Source organism: Homo sapiens, chromosome 5 (genome assembly GCF_000001405.40).
Source record: "Homo sapiens chromosome 5, GRCh38.p14 Primary Assembly".
Taxonomy (NCBI): Eukaryota; Metazoa; Chordata; class Mammalia; order Primates; family Hominidae; genus Homo; species Homo sapiens.
In genome coordinates, this window is record NC_000005.10 from 83950529 (window position 1) to 83976851 (window position 26323).

At 32.8% G+C, this 26323-nt stretch overlaps 1 protein-coding gene across 2 annotated transcripts in view; it reads right to left on the bottom strand.

Moving 5' to 3' along the window:
- The window catches only part of EDIL3 (EGF like repeats and discoidin domains 3), a 444327-nt gene that overhangs the window by 9975 nt on the left and 408029 nt on the right, over positions 1-26323 (bottom strand). For both annotated transcript variants that reach the window (NM_005711.5, NM_001278642.1), the window contains one exon: positions 12677-12832. In NM_005711.5, coding sequence (NP_005702.3) covers positions 12677-12832 — 156 coding nt within the window. The remainder of the gene's footprint in view (positions 1-12676; positions 12833-26323) is intronic.

The window sequence follows — 26323 nt, forward strand, 5'->3', positions numbered from 1 at the left end:
CTTTCTATTCTGATTCTTTGAATAAATCCTCAAAGGACAATCCATTGAAATTTGTTTATTTTGGCCCATAAGTATACTTTCTAAACTTTCTACTGTTAGGTTCTACTCTCTCTATTTTACTTGCTGTTCTTATTTTCAATTTCTGGATGATATTTATTCTCATGGGCATAAACCTAATAAGCATATCAAACAACCAGTGTTACTTGTCCTCTTGCATATTTCAGTAACAAAAAATCCAACTTCTTTATTCTCCTGTATTTCTTTAATATCATTTCCATAAAAGCTTATAGGTCCTTTGAGAAATACTACTTTGTCCATCTACTTGGGTTTCTTTTGAAATCCCTTAAGAAACTGCAGTCAGATTTTCTTAAAGCTATCGTGCATGGTCATATATATAATAATTCTGCACCATAATTCATATTGGATATTAATTTTATCTATGTTCTTTTTAAAATGATGTTTTGTTCCATAAACCCTTTGAAAAATCTAGACCCTGTTTGCTTCAGAGACTTCTTTGCTTCCCAAGATTTCTCCATGAAACTACCTGAGGCTTTCAAACTGCTTATTTAACTTCAAAAATCTAATTATAGAACATTTTTGCTTGATGGGAGAAGTGAAAAACAAAACATGGGGCAGGTTCCATAGTCTCTCTTTCACACGGGCATGATCCATTTAAACCATTAAAATGAATATATGGGTTCTCTAAAAAAATTATTTCCATTCCCATTGTTGCTCTCAAGAAATTTCTTGTGGCTCTAAAGTTTGCTTTCTATTGTAACTATGTAAAAAAGTAGATTTTTGGCTTCAAGAAATACTATACTTTACTGAATGAATCTGGCTTTGCTTCATGTTCCTCATGTATATAAATCTCTGATTATAGCCCAAGAAATTCTTTACTACACCACAAATTTGATGTTCACTTACAATTCTTGTAGCATGATTTGCACTCTACTGCTCCTTCTGTTAGATTTTTTTTTTCTGAAAATGCACAAATGAAAGATTCCAATAATAATTGGCCAAAACATAGGCAAAGGTGTTTTTTTCCCTACCCTGGCAATAAAAGTCCACATTTCCGGCCCTTCATTGCTTCTCAAATTGCCAGATTCTCTTTGGTTTCCATGTAGTTGACATGAAAGCTGGTTTGGGAACATATTTCTTCATTGGGAAAGAGAACTGTGTGATAGCTTTCTAAAATTCATTATTTCTTAGATCCTCTGGAATTTGAGAGTATTGGAAAAGAGGAGGAAATAGCACATTTTTGATAGTATTTTTTTTAGAACATTTAACTTCTGGCTTTTCGTAGAAGAGTTCAACTGCTCCTAAAAAGATATGGGATTAGGGAATCCTATTCTGCCCAGTAGTATCAACTTGTCTATTACTGGCAAGCTGGCATAGGCAATACTTGTGATTCCCTAGTCCACTGTGAGAGTGACAAGTTGAGCTAGGAATTGCCAACATCCCAGTCAGCCCGATGAGAGACCAAAGGGACTGGGGCAGAGTGGCCATCTCCATTCATTCTACGGACTGTTTTCTTGCATAACTTTGGCTTTAAGTAGCTGGAGAGCTGGTAGCTCTTTAGAAAGAGCCCCAAGAGCCTCACTAAGAAGTTCATGTTACCTTTTGTTATTAGGTCTTGACCTTGGGAAAAAGACGTAGTGAAAAATCAAAGCAAAAGAGTCCATCCTCCTTGACTGTTACCTTCCTTTCCCCAAGCTTGCTGTCATTTAGAATGTAGAGTCTAAAAGCCAGTAGGTAGGATACACCACCATATTTAACTTCTTTTATGATGAAAGTCTCCTTAAGTAATGACAATATCTTAGGAAATATATCACATAGGATGATTGCCTATAAAGATTTATGAAACATAAAATATGCCATTCTAAACTGTGGCTATATATTTAAACTATCTGCCTTCCACTACTCAGATTTTGACTGCCATAAGAAATATTCCCACAGAAAAAGTAGAATTGGGAAACCATCTGCTTTTCAAAGACATCTCCAGGAGATATTACCAGGAATAGTTGGAAAGTAAGGGCATCTACTTTTTTCTTTTTAGTAGAACATGAGAAATGTAGAAATGCCTTTCCTCTTTTCTATAAAAGTACAGAGCAACTTGCCTCTCTATTGAAGCTCAAAACTCATCTCTCAAACTCTCATCTGAAATCACACTATGTATTTTCCATCTCATCAGAACAATTTGAGACTCTACCCCTGACTCTACCCTTCATGGTAGATATATAAATGATGTGGCAGTAGAGAAATTGGTGTATTTGGTAATTCTTCCCGCATTAGGAGACTTTTCCTCACTTCAAGTCTCATTGAAGAGTTTCACCCTATCCTTGTCAGAAATGACTTAATATCGAGCTCTATGTATGAACACAGAAGTGATTTAAGCACTCAGCCATGTGACTTCTAAGCCAGACTCATGATGAGGGGAAAAGAGTATTAGGGAGAGGAGACAATCCTGGAGATGGATGCAGGGGTGGCAAAGTGGAATCGTACAGCTGAAGCAGGGTGCCTAGGTGTGAGCGTAAGCATGTATTGCCTAGGCACAGAAAGTAGTCATTCTCCTTTATCCTCTCTCCTGAGTATCCTCAGTAGACCATCTGGTCCAGCTACAAGACATAGAAGATCTTAACTGGAAACAAGGTTGCAAGATCAAATATTTTGAATATACTTATACTAAAGAATGTATCATTTATCTGAATTTAAGTTTAACTAGGTGTCAGTATTTTTATTTGCCAAATCTGGCAACACTATATGAAGAACATGAGGAATGCTAGACCTAAGCTGAGCAGTCACTAACTCTTCTTTGGGATAAGCTAAATTTTGGGTCTTTTTTCTTTTCTTAATGAGTTGAGGGCATATTATTATTAAAATATGCTTGATCTCAGAAGAGAAAAGTAAACTTTGCTATTACTTATGGCTATTGGGGTATTACCAAAAAGAAGAAAAGAAATAAAAGTGCAATTTTGTTATGTAAAAGTTATATTATTTTCACTCATATATGAGGAATGTCTTCCTTTAATTATTATTAAATATCAGACATTTCATTTATCTGTTCAAAATTGATGTTGTTTCTAACTTTACTGGAAATGAGGAAATTAGTTCTTGTGTTCAGTTTTCTGAGTTTGGTCCTCTGCTCACAGCTTCAGAAAAACCGAGAGGACTGCCTCTTCACACAGGTATAATAACTGAATCCATCTTTGGTTAAAGTTATTTTTTAAGCAGTTTTGTGTCTCAAATTATGCCAGAAGTTTTTTGATGATGAGAAATGTGTTGCCTCTGTAATAAGTGTCCCCACACGGCTTATTACAGGTGTATTTGTCCCAAGAGTGCTCTATTCATATTAACACACTTTCTCTTTGAGATTCAACCAAAGGAACTACGTAAAAATCATTGCCAAATGATTAACTTTATAGGGAGTGGCAGATTCAGAAATCTTTTTATAGTTTCCCATAAACATGGATATATGACAGGTATCATTTGTTCTTTTTCAGATTTAAACTGTGAAAAAGTAGAAAAATACTGCCACATTAATTAAGACATTGTGAAACTGTTAAGGGGGAGACTTTTAATTGCTTAACATATTGCAGCTGATGGTGTGATGGTGGATAGTAAAAATGGCAATATGTATCATGTAGAACTAAAGTCCTTGAGCATTTTTTTTTATCATATAATAAACAATCAAAATATTAGTTGTTTGGTGATTATTTAGAAATAAAATGGGTTGAAATTTTTGCTATATTCTAATTGATATAGTTTGGATATTTGTCCCCTCCAAATCTCATGTCAAAATGCGATCCTCAATGTTGGAGCTGTAGCCTAGGGGGAGGTGCTGGGTCATGGGGGCAGATCCCTCTTGTATGGCTTGGTGCCCTCCCTATTGTATTGAATGAGTTCTTGCTCTATTAGTTCACAGAAGAGCTGGTTGTTAAAAAATAATGTGTCACCTTATCCTCTCTCTCTTGCTCCCTCTCTTGCCACGTGATGAGCCTTCTCCCTCCTTGACTTCCATCATGAGTAAAAAAAGCTTCCTGATGCCTCACCAGAAGCCAAGCAGATTCTGTTGCCATTCTTGCACAGCCTGTAGAACCATGAGCCAAATAAACCTCCTTTCTTTATAAATTACCCAGTCTTAGGCATTCCTTAATCGTAACACAAAATGGACTAACACCACTAGTCAATGGTTACTGCATACTTAAACTATCAAAATAATGACATAGTTTCTATCATACTCAGATTGATCGAGTACTTGTTTTCCTAGTAGGAAAGAAAACTATCAGATTCACCTAAAATAGCATCGTAGTTTTTTCTATTCAAAATGCTAATTTTCTCTCAGCTAACATCTCCTGCTTTCATCAGGTTCATCACTACCTCTTAATGAATGATAACATCACTGAATTTTAAACAATTTATTAAAGTTTGATAGTCTTGATCATTCTACTGGGGAGCTAATCGCTAATCAATATTTTTAACATGTTAGCATTTTTAATCAATGCATAGAGTCACAGTTGGGCTAACACTTGATGATTTTTCTTAGTAGTTGTATAAGAATGACTTAAATAAAAGCATGAGTAACTTTTTTCACTGAGAAATATTGTCATTATGCAATTAGGTCTATTAATAAATAAGTCACACACAAACATGAGATATTCAGAATTTTAAGTGTACACGTTTTTAGTGATTTCTGATGAGTGGTGGAAGATTGAGAAGATAAAAATAGGAAGATTTTAACTTTTTTGGCATTTGAGCACTGGGAAAAGTAAGGTGATAAAGCATGTAATAATAAACAACATTTAAATTATTTTTCATTTATGAATATTTTACTTTGATAATACTGCTATGTAACATATTCCTTATGTTTTCACACATATTTTTTCCTTTTTTGCAGAAACGTGCTAACTAGAAAAACTATATTGTTTCAAACTTTAAGGGAGTTTATCAAACTCCCTGAAAATGTAACTCTGAGTTTTGGAGAAAAAAGATAATTAGCAAGAAAAAACAATAAGCATGTATTTACTCCTTATTATCATATTATCCTGACTTGTTTTCTGCTTTCTCCATAAATTTATTGAGAACGATGTTTCATAGCATCTGTACTAGGTGGTTATCTGTCATTAAATAACAGTCACACCAGTAGGGACATTCTTCCTGCTCCTTGCCCCCAACCCACCCTAATATTGGTGAATTTTATGAATTTTCTGCCTGATGTATATTTGTTTCTACCACCTAATTGTTGTTAGACAGCTTTCTGCTTTTGCTCTTTTGTCTTTTAACGATGAAGGTTAAAACATCCAAATGCCAACAAGAAAAGTAAATGATTCATTGTCCAAAATTAACTGCATATTTCACATTGACAGTGTTTAATATTAGAAAATGTGAACTAATATACAAAGGATTTTCTTAGAAACCTCAAAATTAATCCTTAAAGAAGGACAACTGGCTTTCAATTGATGTTTCCAAATAAACTGAATGACTTCTTAAAAAATCACTGAGCTCCTTCAGACAGAATGGCTTCTGGTTGTTCCTGTGGCTAATGAGTCACTCTGGTTTGTCTTTCATTTCCAGCATGTAGCTAGTTGTTCCATTCTACAGTTGCACTTACATTGGGCACTAGCCCTCTCTCTGCTCATCTCTATCCCATAAGCCGCACCTCCTGTTGTCCCCTTCCTTTCCTGCTCTTAAACCCTTCTTTACCCTGCATCCAAGAACAAACATCTTAGTTGTTCTTGGATCTAGGTAGGACACTTGCAGCTTATGTTAAACATGGAAATGGAAGCATAATACTTTTTTAGGAGACCCAGGGCTATTTGCTTGTGGACTTGCATCCATTTTTTTCTGTCTTGTTTTTGACCCCAGGCCTCCACTTCACAACTGATTCTGATAAGTGGGTCCCTATTATGTTCTCTGTGTACCTTAACAACTGCTATCACACTACTCATTGATGACAATATGCTGCTTTCTGAATTCAGTTTATTTAACTAGATTGTCCTTTCCCAACTCAGCAGGCAGATCTAGGCCTGCAAACCACTTTCACTTTGCTAAGTCAATTATTCTGTACTTAGATATTTCCTGATACATTTCATTCTTGGTCAGAGGCCTTAGCAAAATTTACAAGCATCCCATTCTATTTTGGGCATACCAGCACATATCCTAGTCAGGTCTCATAATATTAAATTACAAGTAGAAAAGCAGAGAAACTTCTGAATAACAGTTGATACCAAATGGTATTTATTTAAATAACAATATCCATGATGTGCTTATTACACATTGCATGCCTGTATTAAAACATCTCATGTACCCCATAAATATACATACCTGTCTATGTACACACACAAGTTAAAAATATGCAAATTAAAATAAATAAATAAATAACAATGTTCTTATTTTTAGACGATTTGAAATAATATAATGGTCTTCTTAACTTTAGTTTCAATTAAGTCACTCAGCCACTGAATAAGTAAAATAAAGTGACTACATGAATTTCTATCATGTAGGGGCACACTTCACTTGCTATTACTGAATCCTAGTGTTTTGTATAAAGTCATGTATTTTTTGGAAATTGCTTTTTGGAAAGCAGCCTCCGTTCCTTCCTTCTCTGCCTTATTTGAAAAGAGTAACAGGACTCTGAATGGATGAAACTAATGGTCTCCATGCAATATGGAGTGAAACCGTCCTTGATCCTGCTGCTCAGAAACATGCAGCTGCTCCCTCTTGAAAGACAATTCACTCCCTTTGCTTTTCCCCCTGCTATCATCTTCCTCTGTGATTGCCACTGACAATTCCATTTTATTTACTCCCTAAGGGATTCTTCAGGTTCTAAGTTTCTCACCCAGATCAAATTTCAAAAGAACAGCATGAGTATTATTGACTACTCATCTGACCTCTGCCTTACCCATGAGTTGGACTTTCAAGGTATTAAACATTCAAATTTAATTTCAGCTCTCCAAAACTACTCACTTCAGCAGAAATGACAGGATGCTCTGTGACATCTGTAATTACTGTTGAATTTGAATATATCCTTCAATGCAGACCATGGCTGGCAGCTTTATTAATGGGGACTGATGATATTGCTGCTTCTATTTTTCACACCCATGTTGAGAAAGGGAAGGAGGTTGAAAAGGACCAGGGACTCTTTTCTTCTATTGGAGAGTGATGGACTTTTATGAAACTGACATAATCTATGTGCTACTTCTTCCCTAGAGTTGTTTTATCAAATAATATACCTAGTAGGTTATATTTTGACTTTCCCAAATAAACGGATTAAATCAAAATTTTTCCACCTTTACTGAGCTTCTCATTAGACTGGGAGACTGTGTCATATTCAGATTTTTTTCTCACATGGAATCTGCCAACTGAATACACAGTTGGATGAATATAAATTTCACCTCCTTCTAGATGATCCCCCCATCTAATCTGCATCCTAAGCTACTTAAATATATTATTTCAATTTAAAATTTGTTTAAAGCTAGTGTTTACTTTGTGATTTTCATAAGGGAATTGGCAAACTTATTAAAATTTAATCTTATTTTTAGAAACATTGATTCATATTGACTTCCTCTGACCAATTAGAGGCCAAAGTCCTAAAGAATAATAATAAATTCCATTCTCACTAGAAAAACAGAAAACTACACTTAGTTTCAAAAATTTAATTTTGTTTTTGGCATCAATTAGCCATTTTTCACACACTTGCTTATTATTAGCTGGGGCCTCTGTAAACATTTAGATTTCCAGCTCATCTCCAGAGAGTCTGAAGCAGGGCCCAGAAATATGTATTTTTAAACAAGCTCTCCTCATGAGTGCCATAATCAGACAATTATGGTAACTACTGAATTAGAGAGTTCACCAAGATATTGCAGTTTATTTCTTGATGAATATACGTGTGATTCCTCTTTAAGGACCAAGAAAGTATTATTGGAAACAGGGGATTTTGTTTTCTGTTTTGGAAAATCCAGGTAAAGTTTCAACTTTTCAACTTATGCTTTTACAAAACCCTGGATAATTTTAGGGAGGGAGATGAAATAGAGTATTACCAGCTTCTTTATTCCTGAAAAAAGAAAGCTCCTATGCTGTGAATTCAGACTTATTTAAACACTACGATGTTATGACTAATATACTGGATGAGAAAACCCATTTTTATTTCTAATTTTTCCATATAAGTACTCTTCCTGAAATTTATTATTGCTTTACTTTGGCTTATAACCTGAAAAATTAAATACTGAAAGTGTTTGTCAAGTTTTGCAGTTTTCCTGCTAAATGCAGTAAAAAACAGCTCCAAGTGTATAAAACAAATGTCACTTTCATAAGAGCAAAGGAACATTTGACTTTCAAATAAAAATGTACCTGAATTAATGCTGTAGAGAAATATAAAAGTTAGTTAAATGTTAGAAAATGCTGTAGACTAGTAAGGGGAAAATAAAAATGTATGGACTGTAATGAGAGTGTCATCACAGGCTCAATTACAAGAGATTTAATGTGGAAATTAGCTAAAAAACAATACTAAAGTAAACTGCAATTCTTGTGAATGCTATAGGAGGGTATTCAAAAACTGACATCTCAATTAGGAGAACAGAGTATTATTTTTCTTCAGTTGACTTTTGGCATGTGTGTGTACACATGTATATTTATTACATATATTTAAATACTCCTGTGTGTGTGTGGGTGTGTATATATATATATACATTATATACATATAATATATATACGTATATATATATACGGCATTGCTTTTCTGAGGCTTAGTCACTCTGATTAATAAAAAACAAAAAGGCCATTGATACATTTTTCGAGTTTTATACCACTTACTGTAAACCTAGAAAACTGCATTTATTTTCAGATTACTTTTCTGAAGTAATCTTGTGTCTGGATCTACATTAGACTTCCACACCCACCCTCCAAAAATCTATTAAAGCAAGCAGTCAATAAAAACAAACAGCACAAAAGAAGACTTAGAAGCTTTTGTTTATACATATTTCTGTTTGAAAAGTGCATCTATAAAACATCTCACAGACACATGTTTTGCCCTGAAACATTCAATTCATCTATTATATTTGTCTGGATGAAAGCTTGTGGTTGAATTGGCACTTGTAAATATTGAAGACTTTTTTTTCCTCTTATGGAGAGTAATCATGGAAAACAAGACAAAAATAATGTTAAGAATCAATAGGAGATGGCTTACTCAATGTTAGAAAAAATTAATTGCTAAGTAGTATTGAGCCCTTTTAAACAGAAGAGGACATCTATAAAGGATGTATGAAATGATACATAAAATATCTAGTAGAACTAGTAATAATAAAGCAAAAGAGTTATTTTGATACCTATCAAAAACATATTTCATTGATATATATGTATATTTACATATAAAATGACTACATTTTCAAGTGTTTAAATAACTTAGGCAATACATTTTCTCATTTGTTTTATAAAATTCTTTTCTATGTAAAAATGGAGAGACCTAATGCTCTGTAATTCCTTCTTCCCCATAAAAGATTTCCTTATGATAATACTAATTACTGAATTTTTATCTACAGTTTATTGGTGTCAGTTGTCTTCTTCAATAGTAAATAATAAACTTAGGCTTTTATCTTAGGCTTTTCTTCATTATGCCTAATTAGTTACAATATTAAAAGCAAACTGGTTAGATTTCTTCTTAAAACTACCAGTTAAATTGGCTAAGTTTAGCCAATTATCATACATTTATAACATAAAAATGGTTTCATTAAAAAATTTTACATTATACGAATAATAGTGTGCTTTATGGTCTCACAGGAGAATTCCAGCTCACATTATTTTTAGTAAATAGTATGCATCAATCTACTTTCACAATTTTCCAACTTGCCTAGTAGAGTCTATTTTTTCTTAACAATAATATTTATTTTGGTTCGATGTTTGAGGTGATGGATATCCCAATAACGCTGATGTGATCATTACACACTGTATGCATGTATTAAAATATCATATGTAGCACCCCAAATATGCACAAGTATGATACATCAATTTAAAAAAGATTTATTTTGGTCATGTCCAAATTGTATGTTATAATAATTATAGTTCCTAAATATGTAGCTATAATCTATTTTGCTTGTGTTTATGGAGGTAAGTTTCTGGGCCTTAACATTCATTTGAAGGTGGATTTCAAAAGTTTAAAATATGTATCACAAATCCTGAAGCAATCACAAAAATAGCAAAACGTTATGGCTGATGATTCAATAAACACGATTAAAATGGAATCACTGAAAATTTGATTAATCTAAAAGAGTGCAAAAATAGGAATAACAAAAATAGATGTGACAAATAGGCACTAAATAGTAAGATGATAAATTTAAATCCAATTACATTAATACTCCCATCAAATATAAATTGTTTAAATGCTCCACTTGAAAAGCAGAGATAGACTGGACAAAAGAAGATCAAATTATATGCTGCATAGAAGGAATACTTTTCAAATATTGAGTACAAATAGGTTAAAAGTAAAAGGATGAAAAAATACTAAAAAATCATATGCTAAGGTAGCATTCATAAAAAGAAAGCTGGAGTTAATCGATATCTATTAATATCACACAAAATAGATTTCAGAGCAAAAAATAGTACCAGGGGTACAGAAGTTCATTTTCTAATGAAAAAGGGTTGATTTGATCAAAAGGACATTAAAAATCTGTTTATGTACATATCAACAGAGCTTCAAAATACATCAAGCAAACACTGATATAATGGCAAGAAGAGACAAATCCATAATGACAGTTGAAAATTTCCACATTCCTTTCTCAGTAACAGATAGTACAAGTAGACAGAAAATCAGCAAAGATATAGAAAACCTGAGTAACTCTATCAAACGACACAAAAATTTTATGTAAGTTTCAGATTGAGATAATGAAATAAAACACATTAACAAGAAAATGTCTAGTCTATAAGAAAAATTAAATTACTCACATATGAAATCACTTTTTTACATAAATGGAGACAAAAAAGTATCTCAACAGTTTAACGGTTTAACCATAATTTTCTTTATGCTTCTTCCCTAAACTAATCTATATAAAGATTTCACTATAATAGACGTGCTGTTTACTGAATCTTACACATGGATAAGTAAATACTCATCTGTCTTAAAATTAATTTCAAGCCTGTATAACTTATGAAGTTTAAAAAAATTCATCTTATGAAACATACACTGAATCAGAATGCTTACTGTAAAAGGTAAAAGACAGGAAGTGAAATAGTTATTTGCAATAAATCATGGCAAACACTTGTCTATAGCTCACAAAATAAGTTTGAAAATAATTTTACAAAATATCTAATATTTATTCAGTTTAAGACGTCATTGATTATAAATCATGCCATTATTTTATGTTCATCTACGAAAGAATAAGTGCTCTCAATTAAATTGTGATGTAAGATACACCAATTTCTAAGATGTTAACATGTGAAATGTGCATGTGTCCTGAGATGTTACATGGGTGTGTTCTGAGATGTTAACATGTGACTAGATGTGGCTTTTCAAATCTAAAGCTAAAAACACATCTCTTCTAAAATAAATTTTGTGTGAACTAAATGTAGACTGTTGAATCACTTAAACAGCCATTACAGCCCTAGTGTTTCTGGGGAAATTTATAAATTCTCTGCCTTGAATATTTGAAGAAAGAAAGATAGTTTCAACCCCTCTGTCAGTTAATAATGCAATAACCATAAGGAAGTAAAAGGATTACATAACATAAAAATAATTATTAACTCAAATATTTAACATGTATAAAGCAGTGTTATATTCTCCTCCAAATCCTTCATCTGAGAGTTTTTGTTGATGTCTTCAGAAAGCTAGCATTCCTTGCACAGTGACTCTAAGCAACGAATTAACTTGATTTCACTAATCCAACTGAGGCCATATTTAAACATCTGATCCCAATTAGTCATTGATAAGGCCTTGAGCACTTTCATTCTCCAGGGTCTCACAGATACTGAAACCAATAGATACTATGAAAAGATGCTCAAAATGCTAAACATTAAAAAAGATAAAAATTGTATGGCATTGATTTGTACAGTGTGTGTGTATAGAGGTATGTATATATAAAATTCAAAGTAGATCATAAATTTAAAAGAAAAATAAAACAAACCTATGAATTAAAATACAATGAAGGAAACGGAGCAGAAAAACATCTGAGTTTTTTGTTGTTGAGCTGTGTAATCAAAATTGTTCTATTTCTAAAATTCCTACTTGTTACAATAATTAAGAAAATATAAATGTTTAAAAATAATTTCATTAATCTTTGAAATATTTTTCTCCAAAGAACATTTTATCTAACATCAGGAATTTATTTTAATAATGAAAATGACAGTGGCATATATTCTAGCAATAACTATTTACATATGTATTATGAGAAACTATTCAAGATTCTATCACCTTTATAAACTATTAGGTGAATCTTAGATAGTCAGATCTTAGGCAATTAATAGTATGAAAAATATTATCAGTAAAGCAATTTTTTTCCTCTAGGTTGCACCATTGCATACCAGACTGCAACCCCTTTACAGTACTATTCTTTAAAGCTTTTTATTTAACATATATTTTCAGTATATATGGATACTATTTTCAGTACAGATGTATAAGCAGTTAATTCAATCAAACTTGGGTGTAATTTGATCCTCCACTTCTGAACTTTATAAACCGATTTGGCTGACTTACCTTATCTTTTCTTTGCTTTTCATCCTGGTATACAGTCCAGTGTTCTCCATCATTGCTGTAAGCCAGTTTGTAGGAGCCAACAAACTGTACATGACCAAAATCTTTAGCTCCTTGTGTAATGATGCCAGTCACTTTGGTTGGAACAAGAAGATCCACCTTAAAAAAAAGAAAAATACAGGCTTTAAATGCGACAACCAAGTTGTAAACTTCCAAGTCTTTTGATGTCAAGAGAATAAAACTATATATATCCTAAAATCAAAAATCTGTCTAGTTATTTGTATTTTGAAACCAATGACTGAGTCTATTATTGGCTTATAATTTTGATATTGCCACTGGGTTAATGTAGTGCAAGACTCCTTGAACAACCATTTTTACCATTTTGAAGTCAAATCATGGTGATTTCAGTCCACCAATTAATTTTATATTAGGTGGATTCATCTATTTGTGCAGGTTTTTTTTTTTTTTTTTGTAACTGAGATAGAACAGATGTGGTTGGGGTGACCTTCTTGAGATTGATCACTACCTGCCAGAACTTTACTTATAGTTCAATTTTCTGATTTTATTGGTCATTTCAATGAAAATAAAAATAGCACTGTAGCTGTGTCCACATCAGGGACAAAAATAGTATTAGATTTTCACAATGGAACATTAGTCAATCCTGTTTCCATAAATTTTAATCAATTCAATAATATATAATTGAGTAATAGTAATCATTGTCCAGTGAAAACCCCCTTTTAGAAAATTACAATTCTAAAATGGTTGAGGAGGAAGGCAAATATTCTTCAAAAATGAAGAAGGATTAAATATATGCATTCCTGACTTGTAGAGTCTATGCTCATAATGTGTTCTTTTCTGCAAAACACATACTTTAAAGAGCATGAGACCCATGAAAATTTAGTAAGATTTAAAATCATCAAAATGTAATTGACATGCAAAAGATAGGAAACATTTTCATCAAGAATACGTAATATAGAATAGTTCGGTATTTTCCCTTTTTTTCTTTAATTCATTCCTGCATTTTTTCACATCTTATATAATGTTAATTTTTTAAAAATCTAGAATACTTTGTTTTTTATGCAGACAACTCTTGTAAGATCTTTGCCTTTTATGTTTATGTTCCTTGATCTACGGCTTCCTCTCTCTTCCTGCAATAGCCACTTACTTCCACCTATTTCCTATGACTAAGTGCCTTGCTACATCCTTGATCTTATCATCTTTAACTGTCATGATCCCATGTGTGATCTTGGTGCTTTCAACCACTATGTCCTTTTGTTTCTATTTCAGGTCCTCTATCCTGTGAGATGTAAGGTAGCCACAAATAGATAGTCATGGGTCAGATACAGGCCATGAATGAGAAGAGAGAGCTAGAGAGAATGCATAGAATAAGGCCATATTTAGTGACACAGATGCCCATCAGCAAAGGTGTGAAACAGTTTCCAATGTGTCACAGCCTGTGAATATTCAATATTTTTGAATTCACATGAGCTTTTTGTTAACTTTTTGGAGCATGTGTTAAAGCCTTTAGACTCAAGTTGCGTGATGGATTAGGACAAAAGACCACCTTTAATGCTCTATTTAAACATTTTCAAAAATCAAATTTTTTGGCTATTTTTCTAAACATGTATTATATTATCTAAAATGTCTTGTGTGTCCAGCAGTAATGCAGGATGGCAAAACTATGATATCCTGGGAAGGAAATGGTTGCTGTCTCACATTGTGCAAATGTTTTCTTCTGGGTCCTCATTTAATCCTCCCAATAACCAACCAAGGTAGGATATTAATTCCACTTTACAGATGAATAATTTAATATCAAGAGATGTAACATAATATGGTGTGTGATCCAAAAATAAACAGTGAATAGAGAAATATCACAGATTCAAATCAAAGGTGCACCATAGAGATTCTTAGCATAACGGATCAGTCATTGATTTTTGCAGTAAGTGATTACCATTGATCATTTATATTTTCTCTCAATGATTTCTTTCCACTCTCTGTGACTCCTTCAGAAATTTCTAAAGCATCACCACACTCGTCAAACTGACAGCAATTTAAGTCAAACAAAAACAATCCTGGATTCATAGTATTAGTAAAGCCCTGTGTTTTATCATGAATTTCTTCTCTGTTCTTCAGCTGTCTGGGCTTTAAAATATAGATTGCTTTTGTTGTCCTAAATCCAAACCTAACTGAGCAGAGACAGCAGGGCAAAGCTGCTCTTCTTCAAAGTGTTCTTAATGTTGCTGGCACTCAATACATGGAAAAAAAAGTCTTAAAGAACAGAGTTGGTGTTTTGCTATCACAGGCAGTCAACATACAGGAACTCAAACAGTGTCACCAAGAATATGAAAACCTCCAGGCTGAATTTCCTCAGGTCCTAAACTTCTATAAGTCCTTAGCTAAGATGATGCATTGAGGAGTTTTCTAACATCCCCTTTTCTGCGGTACTTTTAAAAGTCAGCTGGGTTTCCTGCTGGGTGGAGATGTTTTCTCCCCAAGTTGTGTGTCTTGGCACTTTCCAACAGATACGTTTTTCTCCCACTCTAACGGCTCCCCTTCTGCAACATTTTTTTTTTCTATCTAGAAATGTTTTTCTTTTTTGTTCCAGTTAAGCCACCTTCTCCACTTAAATAGTCAGCAATCTGTTTAAAGCTGGATTTTGTCCTAAAATTTGCGACATTAAACTTAGAGTACGAGGCCTAAGCAAACCTTCTTTCAGTACAAAAATAATCAGCAACTCACACTGAACATGAGGTTGCTGACAGAGGGCATGTATAGAACTCACCCTGAGAGGCACTCAGACCACATAACTCCAGAATTCGCCATGTAGAATGATTCTAGAAAAGCCCATTCCTTAGGACCTAATTCTTGACCCTGGTCTAGGACCGCTCTGCCCTCTTGAAGATCTTCAGGGTGAAAGTTGAGCTGCAAATATGCTGGACAAAATACCTTCTGGTCTTTCAGATCCTCACCTCCCCAAAGTTTGGCTAAAATAGGGCAGACTATTTAGGGCACTGAGCTGGCTCATGGGTAGACATTTGGCTTCATGCACTGCATGCACTTCATGTCTGGATCTGCCTTAAATGTGTCTTATATATAACAGGTGCTCAACAAACGTTTTGCTGAATTGAGTTGGGACTCCTTCTTAAGTATGTTCCATGGACAAGAACCAGTTCATGGCTATGAATGTCACTATGTATCAGAGCAGAAAATTCTAGCTACCTTTCTCTAGTTTTTCTATGAGGATTTTTCCTTGACACAGTGTCAAGGAAACACAGTGTCAATGTGGTATCCATCAATTTATACTGAAGAAGGCAAGTAGCAAAAAATCCTCTCCAATCTTAAGGAATTTGATGCTAAGAGTCAGCCTACTCTAACGGAACTGGGTGGTTTGGGGTACCAAGTTGGTTCAAGGATCTTGGACATGCTACTTTACCTCTCTACCTCCCAACTTCCTGATCTGAGAAATGAGGATAACAATTCTCATAGGACTTTATGAGAATAAGATGAGGTAATATTTATCGTGTGTACAGAAGTAGGTATAGCAATATATAAACACTATATAGTAAGTACTATGGAAGACTTTGGTAACATCATGAAATTAAGAAATCTGAGGGAAAAATTTAATATATGTTTCAGAATATCTTGTTAGAAGGAAATGGATACAGAGAAATGGGTGACTAGCTTGTTCTAGCAACAAGTTCTGGATCATAAAATATTTCGCTCACCATCTCAGGATATATACAAAAATAGTTATTTTACCTTTACTTAAAGTAGACAAATTTTGAAAAACCTGAAATTCCCATTTATGAGTGAAATGGTTAACTAAAAACAATGTAACGTTCTGGGTATGGTGGCTCACGCTTGTAATCCCAGCACTTTGGGAGGCCGAGAGGCAGATGGTTTGAGCTTAGGAGTTCAAGACCAGCCTGGGCTACCTGGTAAAACCCCACCTCTACAAAAATTACAAAAACTAGCTGGGTGTGGTGGCATACACCTGTAGTCCCAGCTACTTGGGAGGTTGAGGTGGCAGGAGGGCTTGAGCCTGGGAGGTGGAGGTTTCAGCAAGCTGAGACTGTGCCACTGTACTCCAGCCTGGGCAACAGAGCCAGACATCATCTCAAAATAAATAAAATAAATAAAACAACAAATTTTATATATTATGCATCTCTATTTTAATACTGATTGTGATGCAATGGAGATATAGCTTTAAAGTAATATTAAAAGAGAAAATAGATTCCAAATCTTATTGAGTTACTTATTTCACTCTAAGAATGAAAACAAGAGGGAGGATACTTAAGGAGAGAGGATTAAATGATTCAACAGTAAACAAAAAAGTATGGCATGAGAGTTCTGTGGGAATATAAACTTTTTTGTTGTAAAACATCCTGTAATGTTTTGGCAAAGCATAAATATTTTTAGAGTGTGTCTAACTTAGACAAATGGCATAGAATTCTGTGAGCATTTGTTTGAGGAAGTTAAAGATAAACTTCATTTCAGACATCTGCACAGCACCCTGATCACAGCTCCCTGGAAGAAGATGGGGCAGACTGGAAAATTAAGTTGATTTTCGTGAAGACATTCTTGAAGGGGTGAGGACAATGAAAAGTGATACAGATAAATAAGTGTGCAAGAAATGTGAACACAGGCCAGTTTCATCACAGAATTGTGCCACTCAGCTACATCTAAAATGCTCTTGTTTGTGCCTTCATATCATTTATTCTGAATTGTGTATTTTATGACTTCATAGAGTTTGTAAAATTAACTCATTAAACGGAAATGACTTTGAAGCTAATATGGTTAACTAGCACAGTATTTGAAAACTGACTTATAGGCAACGTATTTAATAACATTTGGTTTCGATACAGAATGTTTTATCTTAACATTACACAAAACAATTGTAGCTAGTCCCAGTTATATTTAAGGCACATAATTAATGGTACTTGGTATTTGGACAATATTGCTAGTTATTAGATGTTGGCTACACTTGTAGTCCATATTTGCAGGGCAACTAGTTAATGTGATTAATAATCTGAAATATTCAGCTCCTGTATCTGATTTGATCTAGTTCTGATCTAAAGTTTGGAATCCTTAAAATATGATTAAGGCCAGATAACATAAGCATTCTAGCACTCATTATTGCATTTTCCCCTTTACTAAAAAAATTTTAATTTTCAACAACATTTTAAGACACTTAACATAGCAATTGCTTTTTTCATGTAATATATTAAAAATACAATAACTAAAACCAAAAACTCATACCATGAAATAATCTGTCAAAGGATGAAGTTTTCTGTTGTATTGGTGTGTTATGGTATTTTTTTCACATGTAAAACCATGTACGACACATGTATGGTGCAATAAACAAATGTTCTAAGCTCAAGTGATCATTCAGCTGTGAGTTTTGTAGGACACCTGGCATATTGTAGACATTCCAAATATACAGGCATCATCTGCCTGAATACAAAATTGAGATAATTTTGTACTTAACAATTACCTGCAATTACAACATGAACAGTGCCATATGTCAATCTGAACTACAACTTATGATTGTTGTCAGCTTATAACTATTAATTTTTAAAAGAATTTATTTAGAATCATGCAAGTAGTTCAACTGCACGTTTTTCACTGAGAATGGGAGGTAACATGATAATTATGAATATTTTATATTTAACATTTTAAATTTTAATTATCTTTTTCATTATGAATAAGATATATGATCTGTAGAAAAATTTATTATTAGAAAACTTTAAAAACAAGTCTGTTACCATGAGATATAATCAATGCTTTCCTTCCCAATTCAAACATGTTTTCAGACAAATTTGTTGTTCTTGGCATTTTAAAAAATATTATTGGTTACCAGACGTTGGTTACACTTTTCATCCATATTTGCAGGCAATTAGTTTACTCTTTATTTCTTAATATTTCAATAGTAATTATGTTATTAAAATATTTTTATATTGTCTATTTTCAATATATATGTACTTATTTATACCTAGTATGTCATTTTAAGGAGTTATTACAATCATTAACTTACTATTAAACATTTACTCCCTCTATCCTCAATTTTTCTATTAAAATTAACATTCCCACACAATCATAGTCCTTTCATCCTGGGCCACATATCTCTTCATTCCTACAGCACAAATTCAAATAATTAAGGCTACTTGGTCAAAGGAAATGATTTTAAAAATAAACAAAAAAGGCCTTTTAAACATAAAAGAAACATACAAATAATAGTAATTCCTAATGACTATATAACATTCCGTATTGTGCGTGCATGAATGAATATGAAAATTTTTAACCAATCCCTTGTTGATGTTCATTTAATTTGTTTCCAATTCTTTTACTATCAGAAGAAAAACAGACTCAACTCTCATGTGTATTTATTTGCCCACTGGTGCAACTGTTTCCTTATAGACACTAAGAACCTGGCATTTGAAATGTGATACACATTGTTTCATTTATCTTCAGGAAAATTACACTCTTCCATCTGCTATATAAAATAACTCTTTACACACCAATCCCATTTTTAAATAAAATTTTACATTTAAATACATTTTATTTTTTAAAAAATTGATACATAATAATTGTACATATTTATGAGGTATCTAGTGATGTTTCCATACTGCAATGTCTAATGATCAGATCAGGGTAATTATCATGTCTATCATTTCAAACATTTATTATTTCTTTTTGTTCAGAATCCTCCTTGTAACTATTTGAAACCATATAATATATTACAGTCAACTATAGTCATCTGACAGTGGTATAGAAAACTAGAAATTATTTCTCCTATCTAGCTGTAATCTTATTTCCTTTATCAAATCTCTACCTAACTTCCCATGCCCTCTAACTTCCCAGTCTGTAGTATCCTCTGTTCTACTTTTTACTTCTATGAGATCAACTTTTTTTAGCTTCTACACAAGTGAGAACACGTGTGCTTAACTTTCTGTATATTTTTGACAATTGAAAAGTGGCATTTTTACCTTTAATCTACATAAATGTCACTAAGTGGCATTTAATTTATATTTTCTTAATTGTTCAGTGTCACTAATTATATATATATATATATATATATATAGTCTCTTTCATGTTCTTTGTCTATTACCTATTGGATTAGAAATGTTCCTGCTGATTTTTAAGAATTATTTATATAGTATCATATGTGGTTTCTGTTATATTTGTTGCATTTTTTTTCTAATTTGCTATGTCACTTAATTTTATTTTTAGCACAAGTTTTCAATTTTACTATACTCAAATGTATCAATTACTGTTTTCATGATTGCATATTTTTGTATGGCTAAAAAGATAATTTACTTGATTAGATCAGTTAAATCTACAATTTTCTCTGAGTTTTCCTTTCAAGTTTTATTTTATTCTTTCTTGCCCTTACTGAACCATCTTGGTTTTATGTGTATACATAATGTGACATAGGATCACAGTATATATATATATATATATATATATATATATATATATATATTTAAGAACATAATTTTTTCAACACTATTTGTTTTATAATCTATTTCTTCTTTGTTCTATCCCCCTACCTGAGTGATTCTTACAAGGTTTGCACTTTCTTCTAGAAATTAATAGTATTAATCATCATCATCCACCAGTATATATCTTGATAAAGGTTTCTTGTATTGCTTTGGACAGAACAAAGTTGGTGCATTCAAGCTGCAGACTGTTTTCTAGGAGAAGACATGCTCAAAAGGTTTTCTTGAGTTATATTTTAAAATATTGCTTCTGCTTCTTTTTGGTGTCTCATTCTAGAAGGCCAGTTGTCCAAAAGCTGAGTTTTTATTTCTGAGGTTTTTTTTTGTAATATTTTCTCACTCATCCTTTTCATTTATTTATTATTTTCCTCTGCATTCTCAGAGAGTTTCTCCATTCTGTCCTTAATATTATAGATTTATTTTTGGTAATGCAATTTTAACATATATTTTAATCTATATTTTGAAATATATTTCAGGGAAATTGGAAAAATATAGCACCTCTCTTATTTTCTCAGCATTAATCTTACCTTCTCTATTACTCCTCTATTATGTCATAAAGAAAAAAATATCCTTTTTTCTTTTTTTTTTTTTTAAAGAGACAGGGCCTTGCTCTGTCACCCAAGTTAGAGTGAAGTGCATGATCATAGGTCATTGCAGCCTCAAACTCCTAGGCTCAAGCCATCCTCTTGTCTCAGCCTCCTGAGTAGCTAGGGGCATGCACCTCCATGCCTGGTTAACCTTTTATTTTTTGCAGAAAGTGCCTTGCTATTTTGTCCAGGTTGGTGTTGAACTCCTGACCTCAAGCAATCCTCCACCCTTAGCCTCCAAAAATATTTTTATATATGCTCTTGAAATTTGGTTGTTTTTTTTATCCGTAGAATATTTCCCACTTAAAATTTTTTTTTCATACATTTAGAAAAATCCCTATTCTTTTCTTGTTCTGCACATTTAAAAAATAGGACCTATATTATCTTGTTTTCCCTTCCTTTACTTAACTTGAAATGACAGAGAAGAGTCCTGGTGTTTGTCACATGCCAGTCATATAAGCTCCTCTTTGTCCCTTACCATCTATCAAGCAGTTGCAAGAATTTCTTAGACTTTCTACCAATGCCCAGCAGACATTTAGGCAGTACAGTTTATCTGGTCTAAAGCACAAGACTCTCCTCCTCTTGCTGTTTTCCTCTGAATATAGAAAAGTTATTTATTTTCTTAATAATCCAAAATCCAAAGCTTTCTGTTATTTTTTATTCAATGGAGATTTTGCTGAGATAACTGAACATCCATTGTTTATTTCTCTATTATATAATTTATGTATTATCACAATGTTGTCAATCTTCTCTTGTCAAAATGTAAAATCACAGGGGCAGACAACTTGGTCTATGTTATTTGGCATGTGCCTGGCCTATATGTTTCATGAAATATCTACTGAATGAACAGTTTCATATTTTAGGATTAAGTAAGCTAATGCATCCAATGTGTATTCTATTCATCTTTGTCACATTTGTATTACTGAAGGTTTACTCTGTCTGCAAATGGGAATGGTGGGGTGTTAGGAAGTCAAGTACTGACTACAGCAAGATGTTTCTGGTTGTGGCAACATGACCACTGAGCCTCTAGCCTGCTGTGCAGGCTCTGAGTCTTGGCCACTGCTGCCCTGATTCAGATGTCACAGTTCACACACTGTAGTGACAGGAAGACACTGCCCAGAGACTGCAAAGTTACCAACAGGCATCCCAATGCACATAAATTTGTGCCCATCATCAACAGGATGATGGGAAGGGAATGAAAGCCTGCAGCAGTCATGACTCATAAGTGGAATGAGTAAAATAATGTATGTGATTTACTCATAACCATAATACAGGAACACTAAAAATCAGGTATACTTTATCAGCTCCAGGGAAACTTTCCAAATATAGTTGTCAGCAGTGTTTGAAAAAACTCAACCAGGCTTCACTAAGACTCCATGTATACGAATGAAAGTCCATCCATCAAGATCTCATTAAATTTCAAGTGAGTTTAAAAGATAAAAACAGCCAAAATTATAAACCTTATTAACAAGCACATTTGGAGTTAATAAAATGATATTATAAAGATTAAATATAATGTTCTTGTATTAAGTCATGACATATTTTTTAAAACTTGAATTTCTGTCTTTTAAAATGAGCAGATCTTTATAATATCCTGTATGCATTTTATTTTGAAATTGTTCTGAAAAAATAATTCTCAAATAATTTTAGTTATAAGTAACTAAAATTGACATCAAGTTAGGCTAATTATCCAATTTCTTCAAGACCTGTGTCAGAGAGATTAAAGCATATTTGAAGAAAAATATAAAACATTGGAAAGTTTTAGGAAAAAGAATCACCCTTTTCTTACTGGATTACTGAAAGTGACTTTCTGCTGAGTTCATCAAAAATAAAATCACCCTGGGTGAGCAGAATTAACATATCTTCCTTATTTGCCTTTCAAGCCTGATTTTGATTAGTCTGGGGACTTTGACTTATTACATGAATAAAAAATTCAGGGTGGTGGTTAATTGAATTAGTCTATAATTGATAGGGTCATTATTAATTGATTAATGGAGATTTAATACAAGTTTTTGATCAAAGAGCATAATGATATCCAATAAAGATTTTTCAGGTACTTTAATTACAGCAGTGACTGCACAAATAAAGTAGAAAACACAGACAATTATCAGTAAATAATTTGCATGTGATTTAGAAAACAATTACATACTTTTAAGTAGGACCTGAAAGAGTTTGTTATTTAGTATTTTTTGATAGCACAGTGTGAACGTTGTATAGGTCAGCATTGTGTCAGGATCTTTTGGATAGCTAAAGACTCAGTGAGCTGGTGATCAGACTTGCAGGTACTTCAAGTAGCTACAATTTAGTTGATTGTTTACACGTGTAAAAACTATCTGAATATATCTTTGACAATTACTTTACTGAATATAATTTTATGCAAAGTGTTGTATTATGTAAAGCCATTATATAAAGACTGGTGTTTCCAAACACAAAACATCTATATACAAATTTGTGTGTCAATATGTAGAACTACATGCATCTTATTCTGTGGCAAATACCATAAGAACTGAAAATATAGGTTGGTGCAAAAGTAATTGTGGTTTTGACCATTAAAAGTAATTGGAAAAACCACAATTACTTTTGGACCAACTTAATAAAACATCCGCAGAGTAAAGTATATTGTAATAGCAAATCACATTGCATAACTAAGTATTAGGAGGTCCTTGAAAGTTTGGAAAACTGACAGAACACACAATGTATTTTTGTGCTTTGTGCTTGCTGGAGGAGCTATGCATTTTATGTTGATATAAAATTTAACCATTCTTACAATTTGTAAATCGTCCACAGAGTCCTTTACATCATTTTGTTTCATCAGACCATGTGAGCCTGAATTCTAGATTTTTTTAGTCTTAGTTGGGTATGTGCATGTTTTATGGTGATTGCTTTTTAGGCTAAAACAAAAACAACAATCCAAAGAAACCCAGATGTAACTTTTTTCCCTTTGACCTTATCAAAGGAAGTGGAAGGGGCATGGCCTCTTAGAAATCAAGCAGAAGGTAAATGCTTCAAATCGCTTTGGGAAAATGTGCCATCAACGTTAGCAGTCGAAAAACAGCCCAGGTCAGCAGAGAGTTTGGAAAAGATTGGAGGGGAGAGAAGAGGGAGATGACTCAGCAGGAACAGAATTGCCTGCGGATTCTGGGGTTAAGAGCCACTGACACAGAAAGTGGACTGCCCCAAAGGATGACAATTAAAAAAAAAATTTTTTTGTTCAAAGATCAGAGTATACATATAGTAGGAATAAAAGGGATACGAATTATTTCCATTCAAATGCATGGTCCGTAACACTGTGAGCATTATATTTGTATAACAAGGGCAAAGAGCCTCCAGCAGATCTGGCAGGGCTATCTAGTTCCTCAGCATTTCAGTCACCATAAATTATACTTGTAGTCTTAGAGAGCCTCATTAAAAGTCATGATTATAGACTTTCTCACTGAATACCCATAAAATCAACATGTTTTATCTACTCATATTTATATTAATTTATTTATTGTGTATATATATCTTATGTATATTCTTCTTCTGTTATTGATGCTAATTTCCATTTGCTTTGTTCTCTGTAGAAATAAGGAGCAGCTGTTGTATTCTTAAAACTCCAATCTCATCAATCTTTTCCTTTAGGTCCTAATATCTATTTCCTTAATATAGTTACCAAGGTCTTTTGAGCTTAATAAATGGTAAAGTATAGAACCAGATGTTGAATGCTGATAAAATCTGAATATGATTTAATGAGTATATTTTAATTAAGTCCTACAGTACGATGTGGCCTGAGTATTTCTATGATGAAGCCCAAAAAACATATATGGCTATAGTTATAAAGTTCTGGCTTGAATGTAAGGTATATAACTTTCATAAAATATTTTGTTCTTGACTGCATGTGAGCAATAAGATGCTTAGACTTTACTTCTTTTGAGAAATGGCCTACATTTAAGGGACTCATATATATGCCTCTCTCAGAAATTACACAAGGGCTAATTTCTTTCTGCACTCAGCACCAAATAACCTTATATTTTAAAAATCACAGTCTTAAGCTCTAAAACTATTCATGCACTGTACTTTCTATTACTATAAAATAGCTCATAAACCACAATCTTAAATTAGGTATAGAATTAATAAATCACTTGAAACAAACTCATTATATTAAACTTATTTTTTTGCATATGTATTCAAGATTTTAAAAACTTCTCAAGTTATAGTTCACTTAACTGAGGACTCATTTGTAGATTTAAATAAAGAATTTTATAAGACACCTCCATCTGTTGAACATTTTTTACATAACTGTCTTTGATATTTGATGGAAGGCTTCAGGCTCAAAGCTGCTGACATTTTAAACATAATTTGAAAAAAATCAGATGTGACATCAACAGGAAATAGATGTATAATTCCTTTTTTATATATTATAAGTGTTTAAGGATCCTGAATTCCAAAGATATTTTTAATGAAGTTGAAACACTGTTTTAAACAAAAGAGGAATCTTGTAAAAATTATTAGAATGACACTAAAAGTATAATATCAGAAAATTAACTTACAGTGGAAACAATCAACATGGAGGCATCAGAACAAAAACAAATAAAAAAACTATCCTCATAAACAACTCACCAGATACGTCTCAAGCTTCTGGCTTATTGTATTAAAAGAGGTTATTTTGACATGCCTTTCCAATTATGAATAAATCTGTTACATTTCAAGAAATGCTAAAATATCTATTACCTTAGGAATTAGAATATAAGCTATGACATAAAATTTATGTTAAACAGAATCACTATAGGCCCAACACAAATGACTCCTGAAAGTCTTCCTAAGACACTAAGAACAGAGGTCACACACATATATATTTATACTGCCAGATTAATACTCTGTATTTTGAAAAACATGGCCTTGTGTTGGGATGCATTGCTTCCAACTCTTTTGTAGAGTAGCATTTTCTTTAAAAAGTAACAGACAATGACATAAGTTGTCATGTTGACAATATGCTTCAGGAACGAGAAATATCCTTGTTGTTTGGGAGATTGAAAGGTAAACTGTCAAGACTAATTCTGAAATAACACTTTTTTTCTGGAAAGCTTTCATGTCAAACAACTAATGTGCTGTATTTTCAAGAGGGAAATAATAATAACAATTCATTAATACAGCCCAGGCATTAATGAATGTGTCAAACATTTGTACACTGAGAATGCTTTTTGCCATAGACTTTTTAGCAGACACATTTTATTAAATCAAGAACTTTCCCTAATCTATTTATTTGCAATGAAAATTTTAAATCATGAATGACTCTATCAGATTCTATGAAATTATATCTCTTTTCATATTAAGATAATCATGCAGGTTTCTTTTTTAATTAATTAATACAAAACCATCACCCAACCAACCCGAGAACTGTGACATCGACAATACCTATGTTAACCCTGTTTAGCCTGTCCTTTACTTCTCCCCACCAAGTATACTCAATCCTAAATTGTTTATTGTGCCCTTGCTTTTTAAAATATAATTTTATAATTATGAATGTACTCCTAAATAATAATATTTAGTCTTGTCATAAAATTTATAAAGAATTTCATACAGGA